General features: G+C 59.2%; 1 protein-coding gene across 1 annotated transcript, besides 2 other annotated features; it reads left to right on the top strand.

The window, feature by feature from the left end:
* Positions 1-131: 131 nt before the first annotated feature.
* LHX5 (LIM homeobox 5) lies at positions 132-9,970 on the top strand. The gene is made up of 5 exons (NM_022363.3): positions 132-677; positions 2,658-2,881; positions 3,599-3,876; positions 4,582-4,747; positions 8,446-9,970. Exons 1-5 carry the CDS (start codon positions 505-507, stop codon positions 8,811-8,813), a joined length of 1,209 nt encoding a protein of 402 aa, NP_071758.1. The 5' UTR covers positions 132-504; the 3' UTR covers positions 8,814-9,970.
* Positions 250-1,050: an enhancer, noted in NCBI's record as "H3K27ac-H3K4me1 hESC enhancer chr12:113908758-113909558 (GRCh37/hg19 assembly coordinates)". NCBI's record gives its function as "activates a minimal SCP1, AML or CMV promoter by ChIP-STARR-seq in naive H9 embryonic stem cells {active_cell/tissue: H9 hESC(naive)}" and the evidence as "EXISTENCE:reporter gene assay evidence [ECO:0000049][PMID:30033119]".
* Positions 3,148-4,141: an enhancer, noted in NCBI's record as "H3K27ac-H3K4me1 hESC enhancer chr12:113905667-113906660 (GRCh37/hg19 assembly coordinates)". NCBI's record gives its function as "activates a minimal SCP1, AML or CMV promoter by ChIP-STARR-seq in naive H9 embryonic stem cells {active_cell/tissue: H9 hESC(naive)}" and the evidence as "EXISTENCE:reporter gene assay evidence [ECO:0000049][PMID:30033119]".
* Positions 9,971-11,357: the final 1,387 nt, after the last annotated feature.

Raw genomic sequence — 11,357 nt, 5'->3', positions numbered from 1 at the left:
GTAGCCAATTTAGATATGCTATAAATTTAAGAGGTTGCCATGGCCACGGTGCGCCCATTGGCCGCTGGGCCCCCTACGTGCAGCGCCACGTCACCAAATCTGAATAAGGATGCGCGAATTACGCGGCGACCAGACAAAGATGAGGATCCGGACCGCTTGAAAGTGGGGGAAAGTGCCGGCGCCTCCGCCACCGGGGAAAGCCGCTCCGCAGCGCCGAGGCCAGCAGCCACCCGAGATACCTGGGGAAGCCCGGAACAGGCGCCGGGGCGTGCGGCCCGTGGCATGAGGTTGTGAACGCCACCCGCCCCCCACCACCCCACTCCGGGCAGCCCAGCGCCAGGCCAGAGATTGCCCAAGGACTGGACCGGCTGAGTCTTGGTCCGGACCAGACTCGCCCTGCAGCTGCTGAGACAAGAGGCGAAGGGCAGCGGAGGGCCCGGCAGGCCCGAGGGCCAGGGGCCCAAAGGGAGGGCAAGGCGGCCGAAGCCGCCGGGGCGCGGGGCTATGATGGTGCACTGCGCCGGTTGCGAGCGGCCCATCCTCGACCGCTTTCTGCTGAACGTGCTGGACCGCGCGTGGCACATCAAATGTGTTCAGTGCTGCGAGTGCAAAACCAACCTCTCGGAGAAGTGCTTCTCGCGCGAGGGCAAGCTCTACTGCAAAAATGACTTTTTCAGGTAAGAGGCCGCGCCGCTCTGCTGCCTGCGCGCCCACCCTGCGCGCGCTCCACTGGGGCGCTGGGGAAGGGGATACCCCCATCCCCATCCCAGCCTCCCCGGATCACAAGCTTAGATGGGGAGCGGGCAGCACTTTGCTCTCCTCCTGTCCTTGGTCCAGGAAAGGTCCCGAGCCCAGGCGGAGGAAGAAGGACGCTGCTTCGCTGCCTCACGTTGGCTCGAGGCCGGCTCAGAGCGCTGGCGGGGCAGAGGGAGGAAGCCCTGACAAACTTGCTATCCACTCCTCTCCGCCCCTTCCAAGCAGCTGCAACCCCAAGACAGAAGCTTCAAGCCCCGTCCCGAGAGAGAGGAAGGATTTTTGCATGAGTTAGAGACGCCTGAAGGCTTCTCGCTCCAGGCAGAATGTGTGAGCCCATCGGCCGCAATCCCAAACAGAAACTTCTCAGCTCCAGAGGGGGCCCAGCGAGGAAGGTCTCCCCTGGTGATGGGAGGAGAGAACCTCCCCCACCCACCTCCCAACCCCTTAAACATTTCCTCCCATGTTGAAAAGTAGAAACGAAATCGAGGCTGAGAATCAGGACCTCTGGGGTCTAGACTGGGCTGTGGCACCTCCCCAGCCCCCCTACCCCTGTGGGCCCTGTGGCTGGCCAGGGCAGATCACCTCTCTGGGCCTCAGTTTCCCCAGCCTGGAAGCCACTGGAGTTTGGGGCAGCTGAGCCCTACCTGTTTCCTCTGGGCACCCAGAGCCGGCTTTGTGAACAGGAATTCCCCGCGCTGAGGAATGGGGGCGTGAATCACGCCACAGAGAAAGGCAGCCTGCCGGCCCCAGCGACTCCGCACTGAGAATTTGAATGGGAGAAAATGTCAGCCGCTCCTTTACACGTGTTAACTCCCTGGACCCGGAGGCCCGATGCCCCTAATGTAGCAGTGCTTGCAAAGTGCCTAATGATTTTTGATAAGGTGCATATGGCCAATTACGCTGCCGGATAAGGCCAAAAGTGACTTATGGCTTCTAATGCCCTCACTACATCAATGTCACCCAAATTCGCCCTGTTTAGAGACATGGGTGTGAGTAGATGTGGGGTCCCTAGAGTCCTGGGTCCTCCCCCACCCCACCCCCAACCTGAGCCTCACCCATCTCCTATTTCGGGGGAGGCTGGCTTTCTCCCTGAGCTCAAAGAAGAAAGAAAAGGAATGAGATCAGGAACGCGGGAAAGCGGGGATTTGAGAGATTCCTGTCCTGGCCTTGCAGGATCTATGATTGTCCTCTATTCACATTCCCCTGCTGCCTGCCAGGCCAGAGGTTTAGGGGGGCTGAAACTCATCCCTGCTCTCTAGGGTCCATCACTATGAGGCCCTGCTGTCCACAGCTCCTGATTAGCTCCAGCGGGTCCCAGAGCGGTGGATTGGAAAGCCTCTCCATTGGTACTGGAAATCAGTGGAAGGTTCCCTCCTTTCTGCTTCCTCCTTCCAGCCTAGGAGAAGGGCTCCCCACCTCATGGCTAGGCTCAGCCAGCCAGGCAGATTGGCCCTAGCTAGGCAGCAGCAGACTAGAAAGGATCCAGGAGGCAGAGCCACCAAGTGGCCCAAACCCTCCCCGCCTGGCTTCAAATCATTCATGGACTCTGAGTTTGCCTGGAGCAGCCCAGGCAGGCCTGGCAGGGGTTGGGTTTGGGGGAGGACATCTTGGGGTGCTCTGGGCTCTCTTCTTGGCTGAAGGCTGCACCCACTGCTCACCCCTTCCCAGCTCAGGAGAGTCTGAAAAGCCCCAGTGGAGGCATGGCAGTCCCAGTCCCAAAAGCAGCTCAGGACATTTGTCCCACTTCTCCCACTCTGGCCAGAGCGCTCAGGATTGGGGTTCCGTTTGACAGATATGGAAATGGGGACTTCACCGAAGCCAGGTCGGGTGGGAAGAGGTCAGGGGCTGGGGAGGGCTGGATGCAGTCCCACCCCATAGTGACAGGCACATTGTGTCCACAGGCGCTTTGGCACGAAATGCGCCGGCTGCGCGCAAGGCATCTCGCCCAGCGACCTGGTGCGCAAGGCCCGGAGCAAAGTCTTTCACCTCAACTGTTTCACCTGCATGGTGTGTAACAAGCAGCTGTCCACCGGCGAGGAGCTCTACGTCATCGACGAGAACAAGTTCGTGTGCAAAGACGACTACCTGAGCTCATCCAGCCTCAAGGAGGGCAGCCTCAACTCAGGTAGGAAGCCTGGGCCCCTCACTAGCCTTAGGCCTTAGCACCCTCCCACCGTGCCCAGCCTGGCACTCCCTACTTGGCCCCCGGTGTGCTGTCTGTGCTGAGCTTGGAGCTCATCAGCCCCAGGCAGTTCTAGGGCAAGGCAAGGGGGTTAGAGGCTAGAGAAGAGAAGTGGCTTTGGAGCAGGTTTTACAGGGGATCTGAGACCTGCCAGCTCTGCCTCACCCTCCTCCAATTCAGGAGCCTTTTCCAAGTTGCCCTCCTCCCCTAATTTGGAAGCGCACAATTCCCCCTTATGTGTCACTTGAGCTCCAGGTAATTTCTTGATGCACTGGAAGGACATTAATTGAGGTCTGGAGAGAGGAGGGAAGAGAGAGGAAGATCCAAGCCCCAAGGGAATCTGTGCCCTCCTTGTCCCCTCTCCTTGAAAGTGGGAGTTCTCCAGAGGGTACGCGTCCCCCTACCCTTACCCAGGTACTAGCTGAGACGCGCGGAGAGGGCTTAAGAGCGCCCCTCCAAAGGCCCAGCCCCGCCTGGAGAGAGTGGGCGGGCACCGGGTCCCTGGGGGAGGGGCTGTCGCAGGTTTGGGAGGGAATCCAGCGGGGCTGGCCGTAGCCTGGGCAGGCCGTAGCTTGGGCCGGCGGGAACCCGCCACTGGACTGAAGAGGCGTCTGGCCGTCGCTGACGCCGCTGTCCCCTTCCCGATCCGTCCGCCCGCAGTGTCATCCTGTACGGACCGCAGTTTGTCCCCGGACCTCCAGGACGCACTGCAGGACGACCCCAAAGAGACGGACAACTCGACCTCGTCGGACAAGGAGACGGCCAACAACGAGAACGAGGAGCAGAACTCGGGCACCAAGCGGCGCGGCCCCCGCACCACCATCAAGGCCAAGCAGCTGGAGACGCTCAAGGCTGCCTTCGCCGCCACGCCCAAGCCCACGCGCCACATCCGCGAGCAGCTGGCGCAGGAGACCGGCCTCAACATGCGCGTCATCCAGGTGCGGCCCGGGGCGGGCACAGCTCCTTAGCCCCGCTGGCCTGGGAGCCGGGAGCCTCGGAGGAGTCTCCCGCCAAGCTTCCTTGGCTACGAGCGCGCCTGGTTCTGGTCTGGGAGCAGACCGTGCGCCCGAGTGGGGCACTTGCCCGAGGTCGGGGACTGTGAACCGAAAGATTCCATCTAGCCCTGCTGTCCTCCTGGTATTGCGATTTGGGGGCGGGTCACTTTACCTCTCTGAATTCCGCCCCCCGCCTTGCTTATGGAAGGTTGTAAGCCTCTCTGGGGTCCGGGATCCCTCTTTACCTCCACCTTTCGAGCAGAGAAACAGGCGATGCCCCCTCCCTCCCTGCGCCGAAGCGCGGGCAGACAAACGGCCAGAGGCTGGCTCCGGAGCCGAGGGGCCGAGGCGAGAGCCGTGCCGGGAGGGAGGCCTTTATAGAGCCGTCAGGCCGCGGGCGAGCCGGGGACCAGGAAGCCCAAGTCTTTATGAGTCGCCCCACGGGTCCGCGAAATCCTTCACCCTTGGCTGGTTCGCCGAAGCCTCTCTCCACCCCTCCCGGCCTAATCCGGCCCGGCCCCGCCTCGGGGGAGTCCTGGTGCGGAAGAGGCGCAAGGACCCAGCAGGGGCAGCCCAGTCAGGGAAGGGAGAAGAGGGGGGGAGAGGACACTCCTGATCCTGGGTTCACAGCCCCCTCCTCTGTCCCAGGTGTGGTTTCAGAACCGACGGTCCAAAGAACGCCGGATGAAACAGCTGAGCGCCCTAGGCGCCCGGAGGCACGCCTTCTTCCGGAGTCCGCGGCGCATGCGTCCGCTGGGCGGCCGCTTGGACGAGTCTGAGATGTTGGGGTCCACCCCGTACACCTACTACGGAGGTAAGGGGCGCCCCGGGATTCGCTGTTCCGCACCTGTCCTATTCCGGGAGCTGAGGGCGAAGGGTCCCGGCCAGCACGCTTTCCGCCGCTCCAGAACATCGCCCACTCGCTGGACACACGATCACAGACACATGTACACTCACCCACATGTCCTGGACACAAAATCAGATACATGGTCTCACCCATACAGTGATGCACACAGAAGCACACACGAGATACAGTGACACATTCACCCACGCAGGGCACAAGGTGCACTCACACTTGCGTTCAGAGACTCCAGGGACACACGTCTAGACACGATCGCACGATCACGTATAGGTAAATTCCACCCTCTCACACACAGGTACACTCACGGAGACACAACTCCACAGACGCGCACACTCCCACCAGTCACACTGAGGCCAGTACTGGCAAATCCACATGCATGCGGCCCCCACGGACAGACGCACAGCCTTCCTGCCGCCCTGTGCCTGGTGTACTTGGCATGAGGTGGATTCCGAGCGCTGGAGGGTAGTGTGAGGGGAGGGGATGGGGGTCTGGATTCATTCCAAGCCGCCTGCTCACTAGCATCGAAGGCAGCAACTCCTGTTCCATGTGGCGGGGTGTGTGCGCACAGCATCTGGCAGTGTTAGCCCAAATGCCGGCAGTTGCTCTGGGCAGGACTGTAGTCCACCCTCCAGCCCCGAGACCCCTGGGGTTCCTACAGACTGGGGGCACAAGTGTTGGGCCAACCCCAGATTTCCACCGTCTTTGGGGCTGCAGAGAGCGAGGAGCCCCAGTTTACAAAGGGCTTCAGATGGTGGTACCAGGCTTGGGCCTGGGGTGAGCTGTCCCCTTGCCACCTCAGCTTTTCCTCCTCTCACTTCCCTCACACTGGATTGGTGAGCCATCCCAACTCCCCCTATCCGATTTTTTCAGCTCCTTACCCTGAGCCGCATTGCTTGAGCTCACCAAGCTCACTGTCCTGTTCTTCCCAGGGCTGAGGGCTCAAGAAAGCACCTCTCCTCTTCTATTCTGAAGCTTCTGAATTTGGAGAGACCCCAGGACTGTCTATGTCTGAGAGGCATCTGCACTTCTGAGTTGTAACGCAGGTTAGGAAGAGGCAATTTCTCTTAGAAAGTGGGTTCAGTGGCAGTGTTAGCAAGGCAGGAGCTAGGCACCCAGGTAGACGCAGAAGGGAAGGGAAGATAACCCCATCACTAACCTCAGCACATCCGGAAGCCTGAGGGGGGATTAGACCTTGAGACCGGACCGGGGCCCCTAGAAATTGTGGGCAAAATGCCAGGCTGTGCTTTTCAGGGCAGAGACCCCAGGCAGTGGCAGGGCTCAGGCTGGAGCGCCCCAGCCGCCCAACCCTGGACAGCCCCCCAACCCTGGACAGACCCCCAACCCCGGACAGACCCCCAACCCTGGAGAGCCCGGATGGTGGGCGTGTCTTCCGGAGTCTCCACTCACCGACTCTCTCCACCTAAATTTGCCTCTTTCCCTACAAAATCTGGGCCCGGAGCAGCGAGGTAGTGGGGGCGGTACCGGCCCGGAATTTTTCCCCGCCTGGATAATTAACCAAGGTTTCCCCGAGGACCACTTCGCCCCCGCCCCGACCTATCCCACCGCCTCCTCTCCCTGCGCGCTGGATGAGGTGGGGAGCTGGATACTGGGGGCCCCTCGTTCCCCGTAATGGTGGGGAAGACTCCCCAGCCCCCAGCGAGGCAGCCCCGCCTAATCCGCGCTGGGAGATCCCGGCGGTGGCGACCGGCAGCGGGCGAGAAAGGGGCCGGGCGGCGGGGCCGGCGGCTCCCCGTGGGAGCGCGGACAAAGCCCCAGCTGCGGCTTTTGTGCCCTTTTCAGACGGCGTTTGTTCCAATTACCTCCGGCCCGGCCGCCATATGGGCGGAGGCGGCGCGCACGGCGCGGGGGCAGCGGCCTTCGCTGGTTTTCCGGCTCGCCGCGGGCCGCGGCCGTCTCCCATCCCTGTCCCTTTGGGGCTCCAAATTTGCCGCTCCCCATCTTCCCCTTCACTTTCGGGGAGAATTAAATTAATGGTTTTAAAAAGTAATTGGCAACCGTTTTAGCTGTTGCTTAAACTGCCTCCAAGCCACGCCTCCAGACACCCCCCATTTGGACAGATTTCAGGGTTTGGAGAGGGAAGAGGGTGGCAGGGGGCATCAGGAATTCGCCCCTTGACTGAGATCCCAGGACTCAGCAGGGGGAGTGGATTTGCAGAAGAGACTCAGGCTTCTGGACTCGCTGGTTTTCCCGCCGTACAAAGCGGGTGCCTGGTACAAGGTGGTCCTTTCGTGACGTCCCCCACGTCAGTCCTTCAGGGCCCCACCTGGTGGGGGAAGGCAGGATATCCCGAAGGTTCTGGAAAAGGGGCTATGTGGGGCGGTCAGAGAGTTGATACAGATTTGTTGAGGCAGAATGGGTTTGCAATCCGGAGTCCCTACACCTCCTGAATTTATGGGCAAAATTCTCATCCTTGCATTTTCCTTGAGAGAGAGCCCATAGCTATCACCAGCTTCTCAAAAGATCTCAATGTCCTCAGATGCTTCAGAACCTGGGGGTGCTGGCAAAACCAACCCGGGGCAAGGCTGGAGGACCGAGCTTCTACCCCAAGGAGCCCGCGGAGCTCTGGCCATGACCCAGAGAATCTTCGTGTCCTCCTCCCCCTCTCCCAAGTCGCTGGAGCTCAGTTTTCTCTTTCTCAGGCTAGGCTAGGCCGGTACAAATGGTCTCACCGGGATCGACGCGGCGGCCGTACTTGGCGAGGCGAAGGACTTGGACTGGGTTGGTAGGGCGCAGGGACCGAGTTTAGGGCGCCAAGGCCGCCCCGCCCGGCCCAACCCACCAGTCGCTCCTGCCGCGGCCCGGATCCAGTTTCCCCCGGCCAGGTCGCTTCCCGGTCTCAACCATTTCGCGCTCTGCTCTGTCCGCTGGTTTGTCCCTGCCCGGTTCCTCTCCCCGGGCCTGTCAGCCTCCGCTTCTCTGGAGGTTCCTGGGACTCATCTCTGATCCACCGTCTTGCGTTCTCTGGGCGCATCGACTTCTCTCCATCTTCGGGCTCACTCCTGACTCCCTCGCTGCCGCCCCCGGGGGTTTCCACGCGTGTCTCTAACCGCGGCCGTCTTTCCTCTCTCTGCGTCTCCTCGACTCCTCCGCGACCCTCCGATGTCTCGGGCTTTCGGGTCTCAGCCGCGGACTCCGCGTCTCTGGGTCTCTTTTCCGCCTTTCTCTCTGCCCCTCTGCCGATCTCTCCGTCTGTCTCTCGCTGTCCCGCATCTCTGTGTCTCTCACCGACCCTAAGACACTTAGGAATCATTGTCTGTCTCTGCGTCTCTGGCCGCCTCTGTCTCTCTCCATCTCTAGGTGTCAGGGAACCTGTGACTGAAGTCTCCGAGTTTTTGCCGCGTGTGTCCCCCACGGTCTCGGAGTCTCTCCCGTCTCTGTGTGTGGTCTCTGGCAGTCTGAGTCTCTTGCCCTTTCGAGATCTCTCATTGTCTCTCTCCCCAACCCTCCCCGTGAGCCTGCGACGTCCACCGTCTCAAGGGGCGCCGGCCTCCGCAGGTCTCTCTAACCTTGGGTCGGTGTCGCGCGCTCCCCTCTCTCGCCCGCCCGGGTCCCCTCCCCGGGTCCCGGGTCCCCCGCCTACTTCGCCTTCTCTCACCGCGCCCTGTCTCCTTCCCGCTCCCCCTCCGCAGACTACCAAGGCGACTACTACGCGCCGGGAAGCAACTACGACTTCTTCGCGCACGGCCCGCCTTCGCAGGCGCAGTCCCCGGCCGACTCCAGCTTCCTGGCGGCCTCTGGCCCCGGCTCGACGCCGCTGGGAGCGCTGGAACCGCCGCTCGCCGGCCCGCACGCCGCGGACAACCCCAGGTTCACCGACATGATCTCGCACCCGGACACACCGAGCCCCGAGCCAGGCCTGCCGGGCACGCTGCACCCCATGCCCGGCGAGGTATTCAGCGGCGGGCCCAGCCCGCCCTTCCCAATGAGCGGCACCAGCGGCTACAGCGGACCCCTGTCGCATCCCAACCCCGAGCTCAACGAAGCCGCCGTGTGGTAAGGCCGCCGGGCCGCCCCCCGCGCTCGGCCCCCGGGGGCCCCGCCCCGAAGCAGCCTCCTGAAACCAAAACGCCCGACGCAGACGCGGTGGGAGACGTGGGTGTCCCTCGGGGGTTCTCTCTCGGGTCCGCACTCAACTGGCAGCTGCTCCTCGGCTGGGCGCCGAGGGGGGGCCGACCCCCATCTCCACCCCGCGGGCTCTCCAGGAGCCTCAGCCCACCGCCAGTACTCTCCCAGCAACCGCGAGCAATTTCTTGGGACCAAAGTCAATACTCCGGAGGGTCAAGAGATTTCGAGCACGCTCTAGACTTTCCCCGGGCCCCCACCCACCCACCCAGCCACCGCCACCTCTTTGGACTGAGAGAGGGTGAGGCCAAGGGGCGGAGACGGTGTTTTTCCCTCTCTCTGCAATCCGAGTGGCATTTTGTAATCTTATTTCTCGCTGTGCTTTCCCCGTCTTTAAAAAAAAAGATGATAAGAAAAGGAGAGAGATTGAAAGAGAGGGAGAGGAAAGGGGGCAAGATGAGGAGGAGATGGAGAGACAGCGTCAGCCAGAGGGAGAAGACGGAGAGCGAGCGAGGAACTCGCGTGAACCGGGAGCCACCGAGAGGGAGACCGAGCCACCTGCACGCTGGCGCTCCCTGGTGGCCAATCTTGAGGCTCAAGGTCAGCTTCTCTAGGAATAGGGCTGTGGGTCAGGAAGTGGCCAGCCGGGTCCAGCTCCCGCTCTTCCTTACTTTGACGTTTATGTTGAGCCCGAGGGAGCAGGCCGGACTCGAACACGCACACATCCTGCTCTCCCCCTGGGTGGGGCGCCAGGATTGCTGGGCTCAGACCCACAGACCACCCTCCCTGCCCAGGGCCTGGAGGCTGGGCCGTCAGGATGTACAATATTATACTTTTTTGGAAGTTGAACGCTTCTAGTTTCCTTATTTTGTATAAAGAAGAAACAAATAAAGTATGTTTTTGTGTTTACTGTTTATTTATTGTACTCTAGTTATCCGGGGTTGGACATTTTTATATTTTTAAGAGGAGGTAGGGCAGAGTGACGGAGGGGAAGCAGAAAGAGGTTTACCTAAAAAAAACAAAAAACAAAAACAAAAAAAATCAACTTTTTTTAAAGAGAAAGATTAATAAAAAAAAATCTTTTTTCCCTCAGCGCTGTGTGGTTTTCTTTTTTTGTCCCTACCTTGATAACGACTCAGAGAGAATGAAACCATTCCTTTCCCTGGTTCTGGTCTCTGACATTAAACCCTTGATGGGTGCAAAAACCTCTGCTCACCCAAAGGGGGAGCTCTTCTAGTGACTCCCAGGTTCATGAAAGTGACTGTCCTCTTTCGACAGCTACTACGTGCCAGGCACCGTATCTCCCCATGCTTTATGTAATACCCTGCTCTAACACAGGCCTGCCCAGCATATAGTAGGTCTTCAGAATGTTTGATGAATGAATGAATGTGTGATTTGTTTGTTGCCAGCACATCAAAAGAATTAGAACTTCACTCCTAACTATTCCCCCATGTAATTTCTGGTGGCCCAAAAAAAGAGCAGGCTGGTAAGCTGATGCTGGTTATCTGCAAGGCTATGTTAGGACTGAAGTGCGCCTCCTCCCCAAAGTGAGGCTGTTGTGCTCTGCAAATCTTATGCAGTGCATGCTTGTCTTTAGGTAAAGGCATGAGGGAAAGAGTGTCCAGTGAGATTTAGGAGGCCTGAGGCCACTACCTAAAACAAGTCACTCTCCTTCTTTGACTCAGTTTCCCTACTTGCAAAAGCAGGGGTTGGAGAGAGTGCTTCCTACATTCCCTTCCAACTCGAATGTCTGTAATCCCAGCACTTTGGGAAGCTGAGGTGGGTGGATCACCTGAGATCAGGAGTTCAAGACCAGCCTGGCCAACATGGTGAAACCCTCTCTCTACTAAAAATACAAAAATTAGCCAGGCATGGTGGCAGGCACCTGTAATCCCAGATACTTGGGAGGCTGAGGCAGGAGAATCGCCTGAACCCGGGAAGCGGAGGTTGCAGTAAGCTGGTACTACATTACTGCACTCCAGCCTGGACGACAGAGCAAGACTGTCTCAAAAAAAGAGAGAAAGAAAGGAAAGAAAGAAAGAAAGAAAGAAAGAAAGAAAGAAAGAAAGAAAGAAAGAAAGAAAGAGAAAGAAAGAGAAAAAGAAAGAAGGGAAAAAAGAAAAAGAAAGGAAGGAAGGAAGGAAGGAAGAAAGGATAAAAGAAAAAGAAAAGAAAAGCAGGAGAGGGAGGTAAAAATAAATAGAAGAGTGTCCTGCATTGGGATCACTTTTCACCCAAGCTCGGGGTGAGTGAAGCGGCCCATTGTAGCTGCAGCAGGGGAAGGTGGGGAACAGACCGCCATGGGACAGGCGCACGCTCAGAGCCCCACTCTTCTGCCCTTCTTCTTTATGTGTTCCTCACAAGAATCATGCAATGTGCCTTGCCTTTTTCTTTTCTTTCCTTACTGCACATTCATCTTTATCAGACCAATGCTACTTGCTTGTGGAAAATTTAGAAATCTCAGATAAACAAAAGGAAG

This window comes from Homo sapiens, chromosome 12, assembly GCF_000001405.40.
Source record: "Homo sapiens chromosome 12, GRCh38.p14 Primary Assembly".
NCBI lineage: Eukaryota > Metazoa > Chordata > Mammalia > Primates > Hominidae > Homo > Homo sapiens.
This window is presented reverse-complemented; position numbering and strand designations above follow the sequence as displayed.

Excerpts from the sequence above, each read along its gene's own strand:
- LHX5 (NM_022363.3), top strand. The coding sequence starts at position 505 with ATGATGGTGCACTGCGCCGGTTGCGAGCGGCCCATCCTCGACCGCTTT. Across the intron at positions 678-2,657 it reads TGCAAAAATGACTTTTTCAG|GCGCTTTGGCACGAAATGCG; the intron begins GTAAGAGGCCGC and ends TTGTGTCCACAG. Across the intron at positions 4,748-8,445 it reads CCCGTACACCTACTACGGAG|ACTACCAAGGCGACTACTAC; the intron begins GTAAGGGGCGCC and ends CCCCCTCCGCAG.